General features: G+C 38.3%; 3 annotated features.

The window, feature by feature from the left end:
- Positions 4,450-5,649: an enhancer, noted in NCBI's record as "BRD4-independent group 4 enhancer chr10:4395214-4396413 (GRCh37/hg19 assembly coordinates)". NCBI's record gives its function as "activates an origin of replication core promoter dependent on BRD2, P300/CBP, MED14 and CDK7 cofactors, and independent of BRD4, by STARR-seq in HCT116 cells {active_cell/tissue: HCT116}" and the evidence as "EXISTENCE:reporter gene assay evidence [ECO:0000049][PMID:35650434]".
- Positions 6,720-7,014: a silencer, noted in NCBI's record as "tiled region #6674; HepG2 Repressive non-DNase unmatched - State 22:ReprW". NCBI's record gives its function as "represses a minimal TATA promoter and a strong SV40 promoter by Sharpr-MPRA in HepG2 cells {active_cell/tissue: HepG2}" and the evidence as "EXISTENCE:reporter gene assay evidence [ECO:0000049][PMID:27701403]".
- Positions 13,393-14,592: an enhancer, noted in NCBI's record as "BRD4-independent group 4 enhancer chr10:4386271-4387470 (GRCh37/hg19 assembly coordinates)". NCBI's record gives its function as "activates an origin of replication core promoter dependent on BRD2, P300/CBP, MED14 and CDK7 cofactors, and independent of BRD4, by STARR-seq in HCT116 cells {active_cell/tissue: HCT116}" and the evidence as "EXISTENCE:reporter gene assay evidence [ECO:0000049][PMID:35650434]".

The following is a 15,668-nucleotide window of genomic DNA, read 5'->3' as shown; positions in this document are numbered from 1 at the left end:
AGCATAATTGGTTAGCAAAATCTGTTGATTACCCTAACAATAATGGAATATTTGGGTGTGCGTCATTTTATGCAATTATATATGCATGTCAGAGGCAGTAAGAACTAGTGAGTTAACTACTCTACAGATACAAAGGATTATTTTATATTTAATTATTCATGCAATACTAGGATGCCCAAAACCTTTATTAAGATAAGCTAGAACAGAATTAATATATCATTACATATTTTAATTATTATATATGCAGCATATGAAAGTCAGGGTGTACAACCACCAAATCCTAAAAAGACTGAATTTAGAAAATTACCTGTTTTCCTCATTCAACAAGCTATATTTTCACAACTGTATTACAGTATAGTGATATATAAAATAATACACTAGTTCCCATGCCTGAAAATACAAAAAAAAGTGGAGTGTATTTTTTTAAAATCCTGAGACCCATGCATTTTGGAAAGTGATGAAATCTTACTTATTAAGAAATGGATAGCTTTCTAAGTAAATATCTCCTTTCATCACCTTGAGATGTTATTTCTTGCCTTTGGCCAAGTTGGCCCTTACAATTTCTCCTTCAAATTTTTTGAGCATGAAACCACACTAAGAAACATGTCTCAGAACTGGTGAAAGCTTAGCTTATATATCAGATTAAGTCTTAAGTGAGAATATGGTGCTGGGAAGAAGAAAGTGGTGTGTGGGAAACATGCACAGCCCTGAAGCAGGCAGGGCAGGTGCCTGCTCTTCATGGGAGGATGTGCTGCCTGGAGAGGGCCACAGGCTCGGTGTGGCTTTGCCTCCACTTGTCTTTGCTAGTTTATCTCTTCCTTCTTTTTATTTTATTTTTCTAGTTACCACAAAACTGTCTATATTTACGGGGTACATAGTGAGGTTTCCGTACATACAATGTATAGTGATCAGAGTAATCAGCCTATCATCTCAAACATTTATCATTTCTCTGTGTTGGGAATATTTAGCATCCTCCTTCTAGTGATCTGAAGCTATATAATATATTATTGTTAACTATAGTTATCCCACAATGCTATAGGATACTGTAGAATACTAGATACCTTGCTCATATCTTGCACTTTTAGGATAAAGAAGGCTAATAAGTCAGCTAAGTTTGGGGGGTCACTAAATTGTTGTCCATATTAGTATCTAGAAATAAATGGGTGGAAAAACAGCCCCAGGGCAGGCGGTGAGATCCAGGAAATTTTCTGTTATACCCTACTGAGCCTCTTTAGTCCTTGCTAGCTATGTTTTCCTACTTCTTTTTTTTTTTTTTTTTTTTTGAGATGAAGTCTCACTCTGTCACCCAGGCTGGAGTGAAGTGGCACAGTCTCTGCTCTCTGCAACCTCTGCTTCCCAAGTTCAAGTGATTCTCCTGCTTCAGCTTCCTGAGTAGCTGGGACTACAGGCGCCTGCCACCATGCCCAGCTAATTTTTGTATCTTTAGTAGAGACGGGCTTTCACCATGTTGGCCAAGCTGGTCTCAAACTCCTGACCTCAAGTGATCCATCCACCTCAGCCTCCCAAAGTTCTTGGATTACAGGCATGAGCCACCATGCCCAGCCTGTTTTCCTCTTCTTTAAAAGTCTACTTTTCTACTTGAGCTTGATGTCTACTTTCTATCCAAAATCCAACGTTGTAAAGTTCCCGTGACGCCAAGAGCTTCCACCTTTATGTGCATCAACTTCTAAAATCATGTTTCTTCTTTCATCATAAAAATGTGAATTGCTGGTTTTCAGTAAATGCTTTGATGTACCTAAAAGATTGTTCAACTTTTTCCCAACTTTTGTTAACTCCAGTGACCAACCACTTATCATTAAAAAATGTCCAAATCCTTGCTTCTCAATCACTAATTATGGTGGCCCATGAAAGAGATGGTCGAGGATCCACTGACCCAAGAACAAGGGTGGATACCAAGCCCAAGTACTCCACAAAATAACAAATTCTGTGAAAGCAATGCCAACATCTAATGAATTAGAGAATGAATAGAGTCCATGTAAATATGTATTTTGAGCCAACAAGATAAAGGCAATGAGAAGTGAGAGTAGAGTCCATGAGGGTTATTGCTGGATGGAAGAGTGTTGAGTCACTGAAGAAAGAGAATAATGTACTGCATATTTCCCTCCAATAATTTTGAGCCCAAAAGATGATATGCAGAGGGGAATCGGCCAATTTTTGAGACAAATATAGTTGAACCAATTTGTGTTTTCAGACACAGCCCAAAATAAAATGCATTGTCACATTTAGCCAATACTGAAAATAAATTAAAATAATGAAATTTCCACAAATGGTTGGTTTGAACACATGGTACAAGGCTGACCTTTTTTCCTTCTGGTTAAACACAGATGTATATGATTTACTCATAATCCCTTCATGCATACATTTTCAGCTATGGTTTATTTTTTCATTGTAGTAGCAGTGTTTCTTCTGTTTCCAAGTTAAAGGGTTTCCTCAGTTCCATCTAATTTCCTTTACATGGAATTTAACCTCTCCTCTTATCCCCAAAGCAAAGTTTACTGGAATTGACAGTCTAATTCAATGAAAAAGAAAATTGCATGTCCTCAAATATGTAGCCAACCCATACTCAAAGAGCTACATCAAAATAAAGACTAGAAACTTGTTTTTACTAAGTGGTTAGCTTGGTAAAATTTGTGAACTAGAGTAAGAGAGGCAAATTATTTTGGCCTTCCTGTTAGTGTTTAAGGCAGTTCTAGTGTTTGGTGAACTTGGCATCTCACACACAGATACACAGAAAGTCACCAAAATAACTGTGGCCACTTTTTCGATTGTGAAATATAAGTCAAGTTAATAAAATGGACTTAATTCTTCATGATCCACGTTCATAGAGTTGATACTTCAAACGTTTGTAGGGTATAGGAATTGAAAACCTAGATTTGAGGTCTCTCTCAGTTACGGGGAGTATAGTGCTGACCTCACTTCATTTCAATGGCCTGGTCACTAAAATGAGGATAGTAATGAAATCTTCCTCAATGGTTGTTGGGAAACTTTCCCCAGATGAATGTACTGAGAGCTGAACTGAGATAGTCAGAAGCCACAACACACATACAGAATCTGACTTCTTTGTAGCCCTTATCAGAGAAGGAATCATTTAAGGTTCTTAAGAATTGTGAATGACGTTGAGTAAACTCCCAATAAATATTAGTTATAATTGCTGACTCACTTAAATAGAATGCCACCTGGTATTCCTTGAATTTTTGCTTCTTGTTCCTTGAATAAATGTGTAATATGAATCATTAACAAAAAAGAGAAAAAAGTTGCTGTTTTAATTTGGGTTCCCTGAAAAACATCTTGAGAAAAGGGTTGGATTGTAACCCAAGAGATGGGCTCTTCCTGACGTTCAGTTCTTGCTTGGAAAGTGGAGGTAATAAACGATTTCATTTTATTTTGTTTTCCATCCTGTATCATGAAAGAGTTGGAATAAGAATGTAATAGGACACAAAGACAGCGCTATTATCTTACAAATTACTTCATTAGACAGAGAAAGTATGCATGTTGGTGAGAATTTAAAAATGCATTTTGCTTGGATAGTGTACAATTCATAACAGGGACTTAAATGTAAAGCGTACAAAACAGGAACAAATATTGTAAAAATCACCTTTACTAAGGCATATGAATTCTATCAGCTGCCTGGCATACTGTGGGCACAATTTACAAGTATTAATACATTTACTTCTCATTCAGTGCTTTCAGGGAGCTACTAGAAATTCTCCCATTTTACAATTAGGGAAATTCAGGCTCAGAAACTTCTGCATCCTGCTCAAGATCATCTCCTGTCGTCTTGAATCAGTATTTGAAGGGGAATAGCCTGAGCTCATACTCCACAAGCGTGGCCACAACTCCATGCCACTTGTTCATTTATCTTTTGGGATGCCTTGTAATGATTGGCTTCATGTCCTCTCTACCTTCTCAGCTAACAGCTCAGTGACAGCAGGGTTCTTTGTACCTTATTCACCCTTACGCTGCCTGTGCCTCACACAGCGCCAGACACCAAGGAGGTGGAGAATAGATACTCGTCGACTGATTTGTCATAACATAGAGCTGCTCATTTCCACCTGTATTTCTGGTGAAAGAAAGAAAAGCTGAGGTCAGTTTTATGGGCCATTAAATGTTTTATGCTCCCGGCAAAGCTGACTCAGTCCCCAGGCAGGTTGTGTTCTGTGCTGCTATGTTTCGTCCACAAGAGCTGGGCTTATACTTCAAATAATACATCCATTCTAATCACAGAAAATGCATTTTCAGTTCTAAATCAGTCACTCGTGTTATATTTGAAATATACTTTCCAGGTTCAAGCACCTTTCCCTGTGATGGACAGCTTTGTATTTAAAAGAATCCAGATTCCCTTTGTTTGCACTGTACTTTCTCCTAAAGAATTTGAGAACTCCTGTTAAACACAATGCTTTTGTTGGAGGTTACAGGTTGTTTTGATTAGAAAATGTAAACAAAGTAGATTCACATTGTCCACAGAATCTGGAAATTACACCTTTACCAGTTATGGTGTTTATGCTGTTTTCTATCCTTTTAGATAAAATTTACCAGAGGAAATGACTCAGCAATGAAAATATTATGTTGTCCAGGTGCCAGTGTTTTACAGGCTGGTGGTAGTGAAGACGTTAGGTTGAGAGTAAATGTCCTTTAAATAAATTGTGTGTAACCTTGCCTATTCAGGAACAAAAATGAAAATCAAGAAGAAGAAGGAGGAACAAGAGGTGAGAGAAAGGGATAGTTGGTAGCGTATGTTGGAGTTTTATTTATAGTAACTAGCTAGTAAACCATTAATATATCAGCATATTGATGGGTTTTTCCCCGTGTTTTCTTTGAAATCTCTGACTAGATTTTGTGATTAAGTGTCACTCTGTAAATGATAAAGTAAATGAGACTTCATAGTGAATACTAATATTGAAAAAACTGAAAACAGGATTATAAAAGGTTTGCTTTTTGTATAGCAGCAAAGCAACTAGGATCTGTTTATAGAAGTAGACATTAAAAGCAGAGTCTCCTACTAGCACCTTCTGAGAGAACCACAACCCTTATTTAACAGTTTATCTATTTTTGTTTCTAACACTGGCTCCTAATTTGTCCATGTATTAAATATTTTCCTGGAAGAGTATGACATAAACCTGCAAACATCCCAGTGGTTGGAGAGATGCTTAACAAACACAGATGGATGCTGGTGATATCATAAGTACCAGACCCGAGAAGCATCCTTTTACATTTTTCAATCAGCCACTTATCTAAAGAGAATTCATATCTTTCCCCGATCCTCCCTACCTCCTCCTAGAAATCTCAGCCCTAGCCAGGGACATGAGTCGAAGGGCTTTTCTTTCTCTCTGGCATTATTATAGGAGGACAGTGTGAGCGCTGCAGCAGGTCTGAAGTGAGAGGAGAAATGAGAGACCTTTGCTCCATGGCTGGGCAGAGGCAACGCAGTCCACGCGGATGTCCCTGCTGGGCTATTGTGTTCTGAGATATGGAACTCGGCAGTGGTCGTGATGCCCCCAATCACAGTGGAATTTAATCATTTCTTATCAAAGCATTGTCTCTTCCAGATATTTTTCTCACTCTAAACAGCCGGCGGGAAAAAAAGAAAAGATAAGAGGAAGAAGGGAGCTGAGAATCTTTTGTGAAAGGTGAGGAGGTGAGAAGGTGAGGAGGCACCAGCCACACTGAGGAAGGAAGGGCTGTTGCCAAGAAAAATGCTTCTCCATCATAACTTGTCCTTTCCTCTGCTTTTCCTCCAGCTCTTTTCCTCCTGAACACCACTTAGTGATTGGCACGAAGCACATTTTACCCCTCCCCAGAGGCAGCCGACCTGCAAGACCTGCAATAGTCACACTGTGTTAAAGAGCATCTACGCGGGAGGTAGTGCTAACCTCAACAGACTTTCAGAGGATCCAAGTCTGTGTGCATTCGGCAGGAACGCAGGTCTGTAAAGTGACAACACAGCCATTTCATAATCACCCATCTGTAAGACATTTATCAAGAGCCTGAAAGCCTGATAACTTATCTCCCCTCTTGAAAGGGGTATCCTAGTCCAGAGGATCCCAAGACTTCTCGGCTTGCCAACCTTTTAATTCAATCCCCAGGATGATTTCTTGATGTTTAGCAAAGCTACTCACCAGGCTCTGTGAGTGGAAAACTCTGGGAAGTGTTCCCTGAAAGTGCTCAGACCCTGGCAGAGAACAGGGTCTTTGTGCTGTGAACTCTGATCCTGTCCTGTGGGCCTGAACCTAACACATCCTATAGTGTCCACCAAGATTTGCATCAACCATGTCCAGGTCCTCTGCAGATCATCCCTGGGAATGCTCAGGCCTTTGGATGTGCTTTCATAGCTGGTCTTTGCTTTCCTCTTGTCTCTGGGTCTCCAGAGGGACTCCACTGTCTTGCTCAGCTCTCTAAGCCCAGAGTCTGCACAGTGCCTGAAAGAGAGCATGTGCTTAGTGAATATTTATTGTGTGGATAAATTGATGACTACATGAATTAGAAACAACCACTCAGCCTTATAGGGTAGCTGTATGTGGTAGGCAGAATAATGTGCCTCCTCCCGAAGACATTGTAGCAGAGGAAAAAATGTATTTTTCTTACGCCAATCTTAAGTTCACTGATTGAGACCCTGCAAACTAGACTGATAAAACATAGATTAACAAGACAAAAACAATCAGGAGTTTACTAACACTCACATCCTACATACACATAAGAAAACCCAGTGATGAGTCACTCTACTGGGTGGTTTGAACTTGGGCTTCTATAGCATCTTAACAAAAGAACAATTAATTATTACAGTGATGGCAAGAGAAAGAAAACGGACATTTAGTTTCCAGAGCAGCAAACTGGGAGATAGTAAACATATGAGGCTACAAGGCAAGGGCTAGTGAGTGAGGTTTGTTAGGTCAACTTCTGTGGACCCTACAGGATGATAAGGGGCTAGAGTTTTTTCGGTGATTAACTCCTGTCCTTCTGGGTAGAGAGAAAGGGAGACACCTTTACAAATGATGCCCTGCCTTAGGCATATGGGAAGGGTTTGAAAGATTTTCTTGTATTAGCATATTCTCAATTGTCTTTAGCCCAAAAGAATCCTTATGCCAAAGTGGCATATTTTGGGGTAGCATGTTCTGTACCTCCAAAGCTTGAATTGATTTTATTTCTTCTCTGACTGTGCAAAGGCACTAAAATGCAAGGATGCAAATCAAATCTCAGGCTGTCTCTAAGACACAGGCCAAGGGACAGCTTTCTGAATAGTGAACTAAGGGGATATGTTAATAAAACAAACTGATACAAAAACGTATGTTCAGAGATAATTTATGTGGTAGTTACATGACAGCCTCAAAACACAAGATTAAGATAGAGAAACCAAACCAGGAACTAATAAGAAAATCAACCATTTTCAGGTTCAACCATTAACTCCAACAAGGATAAAATTGCCAAACAAGTTATTTAGCATTGTGTGAGTGAAATATGTAGATTTCCATATATCTTGTTATCTGGCTGACTGACTTGAAGTCATTTTAATTGAGTCAAGCCTAATCCATGCAGTTTTTTGGAAGTAGAATCCAATAGCCAGGGTAATGTCAGTTGCTATGACAAGCATCCATTCAACTATACAATGGCTCGGAAAAAAAATGAGGTCTGTTTCTCATTCCAAGGTGATGGAGGTCTATTTATCGTTCAAAGAATGTGCAGAAATTGGTGTTCCTAGTCAATGGATGGCTCTTTTTAAGGAAGTGACTCAGAGACCTGGGTCCTTACATCCTATGGTTCCACCAGCTTCAACACTTCCAAGGCTGCCATGCTCCTGTGCATGAAGGTGGTGAAGAAGAAGATAGCATTGGGAATTGTACATGACAGAGTTTTATGCCTGAAAATGGCGAGTGCCACTTCAGTTCTCATTTTATAGGGTAGATATATGTCACATTACCATTTAACTGCAAGAAACCCTAAGAAATATGGTTCTGCCATTTTTCCGGAGTGAATGGAAAATGAGTGAGTAGTTACCTGGTGTCTGGCACTAGAAATCAGGGAAGTATCTGTGATATACCCTAGCTAAAGCCCTGGGAGTTACCACCTCTCACAGTTGATTGCAGTCTTGAGCAATCACATATCATGAATATTTACAACTAAATGAATAATTGAAGTTCACCTGTTTCAAACCTTCCTTTGCAGATAAAAACAAAGTCTAGAAAAGCGAAATTCGTCTTCGAAGACCATGCAACTTAGCTAATGACAAAACTAAAACAATTTTCAAGTCCTAAATTTGTACCTAAATATTCTTTCAACCACAATTTGTAATCCAGTATTTGATTTTTTAATCACAAGCTCTCTCTTTGGGAATTATTAAAGTGAGTAATCATAAATCACTAGAAGTTTGGGAAAAGTGATAAAAACTTAGGGATTATGTCTGTTAAAATATATTACAGGATAATGCCCATCAATCAACAAGGGAAAAAAGAAAAGGTGGTATATATTTATACCATGGAATACTACTCAGCCGTAAAAAGAAACAAAGTAATAGCATTCACAGCAACCTGGGTAGGATTGGAGACCATTATTCTAAGTGAAGTAACTCAGGAATAGGAAACCAAACATCGTATATTCTCACTCTTAAGTGGGCATTAAGCTATGAGGAAACAAAGGCATAAGAATGATATATTGGACTTTGGGGACTGACGGGAAAGGGTGGGAGGGGGGTGAGGAATAAAAGACTACACATTGGGTACACAGTACACTGCTCAGGTGACGGGAGTGCTAAAATCTCAGAAATCACCACTAAAGAACGTATTCATGTAACCAAACACCCCCTGCTCCCTAAAAACCTATTGAAATTTAAAAAAATTAAAAAACAAGAAAATTCCATATACATAACATAAATTCGAACATTTTTAAGTGCACAGTGTTAAGTACATTCACATTCTTGTGCAAGAAAACAGAAGTAATTAGATAATAACAAGTGTTGGTGAAGATGTGGAGCAATTGGTATCCTCATATACTGCTGTTGGGAATGTGAAATGGTGCAGTAACTTCGGAAAACAGTCCAGCAGTTTCTCAAAAAATTAAATAAAGCGGTACCATATGACCCAGCAATTTCACTCCCAGGTATGTAGCCAAGATAAATGAAAACACTTGTCTACACAAAAACTCATGCAAAAATGTTCTTAGCAGCATTGTTAATAATAGCCAAAAGATATGAACAAGCCAAATGTGTATCCACTAATGAATGGATACATAAAATGTGATACGTTGATATAATGAAATATTATTCAACCATATAAAGGAACAAAAAACGAATACATGCTACAACATGGACGACTCTCTAAAATATTATACTAAGTAAAGGAAGTCAAACACAAAAGACCACGTTATATGATTCCATTTATATGAAATGTCCAGAGCAGGCAAAACTATTGGAGTCAGCAAGTAGATTAGCGGTTGCCTAGGGCTGCTGGGATTAGAGAAAAATGGGAGCGTAACTGCTAAAAGGTACTGGGTTTTTTTTTAAGTGATAATAATATTATTAAATTGATTGTGGTGATGATTGCACAACCTTGTGAATATAATAAAACCACTGAATTGTATATTTTTTAAAAGGGTGAATTTGACATTTTAATTATATCTCAATAAAGCTGTTACCAAAAAGAATGTATTGCAGAAAATAAGTGAGCTGGTGAATAATTGTTATTTAAACACCTTTGATTCTTTGGAAGGAGATTACTGTGGAGTACAGACAATCGTAATCTCAGCTTCCTCACATTTTCAACACTTTGCAAAACTCATAGCAATGCCATTTATAAACATAAGAAATGAGAAGATAAGGACTTTTTTATGCAGTTAATATGGCCTTTTGATTCTGTATAAAGCATGCCTACAAGAAGTAAATGAAGTTAATGACCACTTATTGTCTGCAGGAAGTGTTCAATACTGATTATGTTAAAATAACAATGTCTTTTTTTGGCAGACAGTTTTAGTATGGCAACAAAGAATATGAACCTCTATTTACCAGATTGAATCATTCAGTTAGCTTAGTTAAACTTTATAGCTAACATCCTATTAGATTCACTGGAATTTGGTACTATTTATTGATTCAAAAATATTTATTTTTAATATTTTATTTTATTTCAACAGTTTTTAGGAAACAGGTGGTTTCTGGGTACACGGATAAGTTCTTCGGTGGTGATTTCTGAGATTTTGTTGCACCCATCACCCTGAGACCCAATAATGTGTCAAAGAAACTACTAAACACAAAGTTTAGGTTCAAAAGACTCGTGCTCTTCTGGAAATGTATTTTCCTATTTATTTGCTTCCTTGTTACATGTTAGAGGAGGAAGATTGATAATTCTTCCCATCTAATGAACTCAGAGCCAATAAAGCATTGTTGCTTTCATGGAATTACGTTGGGACATTTAACTGAAGACAAGCCACTTTCTTGGAAACATAGAACGTTTGTCTGGCTGCTGGAGGACCTGTAGTCTACTTGATAAAAAGTAAAGGTGACTGTCCCTGGAGGCAAATATATGGACCAGGAGGTGTCTATGTTTACAACAAAATGCAAATACTACCAAGACTCTCTTCCTTTTTGTGAAATGTAGCTTGATCTCATTATGAAAGATAAAATGTGACTTTATGAAACTGTATAATATATTCCCACTTTGGTAAATGAAAAGTAAATTTGACAAGAAGAATATCTTCCACAATATTAAAAGTTGTGATATAGGAGTAGCAGAATTACAGGTGATTTTAAAACTCGTACAGCAGATTTCAGTTACTTTTCACATCCTCCCTTCTCTAGAACAATACCTGGGGAAGAGGAGGGAAGACATTTTCAAAGCTCAAGAGTTTCTCATTCATTCATTTATACACTGGTGCTTTTTGAGCAGGTTCTGCACCACGCACAATGACAGGCCCCAGACAGGCCCCGGGGGGCACACTGGACGTCAGTCTTCCTGTCACTTAATTTGGAGTTTCTTTAATACATAGACTTCACCATTTTTACTTTATACAAAGTTCCAGCCACACAAGTGTGTTCTTGTCCTTGATTGCTCTGTGATAGGTGTGTGTGGGGCGGGGAAGGCAGAGCTGTCCAGGGGTTGAGAGTCATTGAGTTCAAAAACACTTGAAACAGTAAGTTTCATGTTATTCTTGACTTAAGGTATCATCGACTTACACAAGTGTATTGAAAGATTTTCCTTCGCATGCTTTCATTTATATACAAAACCAAATTATCACATTGAATGCTATATTTTATGTATAAGATAAATATACATATTATATATGTAATATGTATACATAAAGTATATGTATTACATATATACATTTACTCACATATGTAAATATATATGTTTTCTGTAATCATGAGCTGAAGAGCAGTAACTGGGAGAAAAATGTAAATATCACACACTGACCATTCTGAGAGTACGGCAAAATACCTTTTGTATGTGTGTGTGTATATACATATATGTGTGTATATATACATATATACATATATATGTGTGTGTATATACATATATGTGTGTATTATATATACATATGTATAATACACACATATATATACACACACAGACACACACACAGAAGGGTGTATATATATATTTACACACACACACACACACAGTCTGCAGAAATATATATTTAATGGGAATTTTGAGTCAAAGAGATAGTGACTAAATTAAGCATATTGGCAGTTTGAAAATAACACCTATGGCTGGGTGCGTTGACTCATGCCTGTAATCCCAGCACTTTGGGAGGCCAAGGCGGGTGGATCACCTGAGGTCAGGAGTTCAAGACCAGCCTGGCCAACATGGTGAAACCCCATCTCTATTAAAAATACAAAAACCAACTAGCCATAGTGGCAGGCGCCTGTAATCCCAGCTACTTGGGAGGTTGAAGCAGGAGAATCGCTTGAACCCAGGAGGTGGAGGTTACAGTGAGCCGATATCTGGCCACTGCACTCCAGCCTGGGTGACAAGAGCAAAACTCCATCTCAAAAAATAATAATAATAACACCTATGAAAATTAAGAGTAAATATTCTTAAAGTTTATTTTATTCTTATACTGTTTGCATTTACATGTGAGCATCTGACTGTAACTTGAACATCAAAATTATGTTTGGAGAATTCACTTTACTAATGAACAGTTCTTAACAAATGACCATGTGAGACTCAACTCTGGCTCTAGCCTCCAGCTGCTTCTTAGCCAAATATTTTTGAGTCTGGAAAGATGACTGGAAATTACATCAAAACAACATTTTGCATGGATTATCTGATACGTCCTTATTTTTGGCCAGACCAAAAATACTGTCAAAAGAGACTGCTATTTCTTCTTTTCACCCTGACAGAAACATGAAAACTATGATCAAAGTTTTCACTGAAGGGTCCCATGTAATGTTCTGTGCTTTGTTTTTCAGCAAAAGACTGCTTTATAGTAGTTTGAATTTAGGTTAACATTTGAGATCTGGTTTTCTTTCTTGGCTGAGGTAGTTCAGCTCTCCTTTGTTTGTTTAAAAGGAAACATCAACTTTCCAATTTACTCTCTAAAATTGGTTTTTGTAGTTCCCTGCTGGACTGGAAAGGCACCATCTGTTTTAATAATACTGAAGTGAAAGGGGGAAAGTTTGTGAAATGGAAGTCAACTGGGAGTGCTCTTAGTCATCACAGCTCCACTTGGAGAAGAATCCACTGTTAAGTTCATGAATTTACGTTAAACCCTGGTCAACCCAGGTAGTGTAACAATCAACACAGACTTCCATGTTCTGGCAAGGGACAGTCAGTGAGAAAATTTTACATACTGGCAAACCAGCAGCAAAAATAATCAAAATATCAGGCAGGGAAGAAAAAAAAAAACGTAAACATGTACGAAGAAAACTTCAGCTGTGAAAGAAATACGATATTTAAGTTGACTAAAATCTTTCCTTTTTCCTTTAATTCATAAACTTCACCATTTTTGCCCCTCCCTCCCTCACTGCCTTCCTTCCTTCCTTCCTTTCTTTCTTCCTTCCTCCCTTCCTTCTTCCTTTCTTTCTTTTTTTGGACATTTACATATTATTAGATTTGTTCAGGTTTTGATCATTACTGGAAGATGAGAAATTCTTGCCTCCAAGCCCAAATAATGCTAACCCTTATTCTCTGGACATTTGACAGCAGAATTTCCTTATCCTGACACTGAAACAAAGATTCTATTTCTCAGCATTGAAAGGTCTGCCTACAACTCATCTGTTCATTGGTTGATGGATGGACTGATTTGTTCTTACCTGGAACTGATTATTTAGTAACTAAACTACACACATACAAACACACACACACAACAAATGCACATACATACAAACAAAAATTAAAAAACCACACACACTTAAACACATACAACACACATGCATACATAACACACACAAATATACACACACGTATCTGGGAGGTCCCAACCTTCCAGGGGGAAACTGTCTCATGCTGCTTAAAGCTTCCACAGGCCGCACCTGCTGTTCCAATTTGCCCCTCTCTCCAGTGGTTTGAAAGGTAAGCTGCAAATAAATGAGCACTATGTATAGCTGACCTTGCTTAGAGTGGCATTTTAATGCATTTGACTACACCTGCCTCTAATTTCAGTGTTGATATTTTAATGCAATCCAACAAATTTCTAGGAGTGAATTTGCAAAATTTAAGCAAGTATTGCAAGATGAGCTGGGAACAAGCAGGTGCTCTTCTGTAAAAATATACATGGGGCCGCTGCCGGCACTGATTTCCTTAGCATGTTATCAAATGCCCTGCTGTAGCAACAGTCTTTTTCTGTTTTCTTCTGATGCTTAACTGGAGGATGATTCAATCGTAGACCAAGAAACCGTGGTTGAATTACAACATTCAAAACAGCCCGTGTGTAATGGCTCAGAGCTCCTCTGGATGGATCTTGCATCTCTAAGCTAAATGCAAGTTCACAGATTCCTAAAAATACCCCCTGATGTGAGTCATCCTGTTCCAAAGAGCTCTGAAGAATGTTTTCCACAGAAGTGGCGAGGCACAGCCCCAGGGTGTGGAGCTCTCGTCTGAGTTATGTAGGCAACTTGCGTCAGCCACATACTATGTTATAGTCTCCATATTCCCTGGCGCTGAGCGTGGATAGCTGGAATGATCTGTTGAAATACAAACCTCTGCAGCAGCTTCAACTCTGCCTCCCATGCAACTTCCCCAAACAAAATGGATCTGTGTCAAAGGAGAGGTGCGCAGGTCACTCAAGGTGTGCTTTCTATCAAAGGGTTTTTTTCAAGAAAGAAACCCAAAGCCAGAAATAAACATGGTAGCCTTGGGCTTTAAGGAAAAAACAAAACAGACAAACAAACAGACAAAAAAAAAACCTGTCTTTCTTAAAGCTTCCCCATTTTCAGACTCTCACACTGAAAGTTGAGAGATAGTTTTGCCTCCTCCGTGAGGTGGGTGGAGGGTGCTGTGAGAGAGGGAATCTCAAGCTGGCCCAGATCAGCTGTGGAATAGATGCACTGAGAAGATGCTGAGGTTTCCACATAGATGCCCCCTTCTGTCACAAGTGCAGACTCTGAAGACGCAGTTGGCCTGGGCCCCATTGCTCTGCTGTCTCCAGGAGTCATTAGTGGCACTTTATCAGAGGATCCTGGATGAAAGGAGAAATCAAATCATTTTCTAAGAGTGGGACTTCAGGCATGTGAGCCTGTGTTTTAAGAGAGAATAACTCTTTTAATGCTCCGGAAACTGCACAGCTGGAAGACTGCGGCTCAATGTACACATGTGGATAGCACAGTTGCCTTGGGTCTTTCTTCAAAATAATAGGATATAAATTATACACGAGGAAAACAAGAGAGGGTTGGTGCTGATTATCAGCTTGGACAATCAATCATACACTTTAAATTTGAAAATAAAATATTTAGGGGCACATGGCTTCATTGACTCTAATAAAAGTGTTTTATCCTCTGATTCTCACAGAAAATCTCTAGAATCTTGCTCTTTTAAGAATTCATTATTCCCTTGTTTCCAAATAGGAGCTTACCAACTATACAATAATTTTTTAAAAACAATTTAAAAGTCATATGTAATTTAGAAATTTGTCAGATTACTACCTCGTAGTCTAAGCAGCAGTTACAAGGTTATCTAGAGACTGTTTCAGAATCTTTAGTTTTTGAGCCCTATTAAAAGAAACATATTCCTTACTTTATAAAGACATAAATGGTCAAGCAATTTTAAAAAGCAACCAACTAATACTTTATTAAAATTCATACAAAAATTTACCATCTTAACCATTTAATTTGAACAACTCAGAGCCATGTAGTACAAGCACAGTGCCGCACCAATGTCATCACTCTCTGGTTCCTGAATGTTTTCATCCCTCCGGAAGGAAACCCCACACACATTAAGCTGTCACTCCCCATTCTCTCCTCTCTGCAGACTCTAGCAACTCTCAATTTGCTTTCTGTCTGTGTGGATTTGCCTATTCCCGCGATTTTATCTAAATGGAGTCAGATGGTGTGTGGCTTTGTTTACTTAGCATGACGTTTTCCAAGTTCATCCATGTGGGAGCGCATGTTAGTGTTTTTCTCCTTTTTATGCCTAAATCATATTCCATTGTATGGGTGGACCATGTTGGGTTTATCCATTCAATCGTGGATGGGTATTTGGTTTATTTCTACCTTTTGGCTATTATGAATA

The sequence above is a fragment of the Homo sapiens genome, chromosome 10 (assembly GCF_000001405.40).
Source record: "Homo sapiens chromosome 10, GRCh38.p14 Primary Assembly".
Lineage (NCBI taxonomy): Eukaryota > Metazoa > Chordata > Mammalia > Primates > Hominidae > Homo > Homo sapiens.
This window is presented reverse-complemented; position numbering and strand designations above follow the sequence as displayed.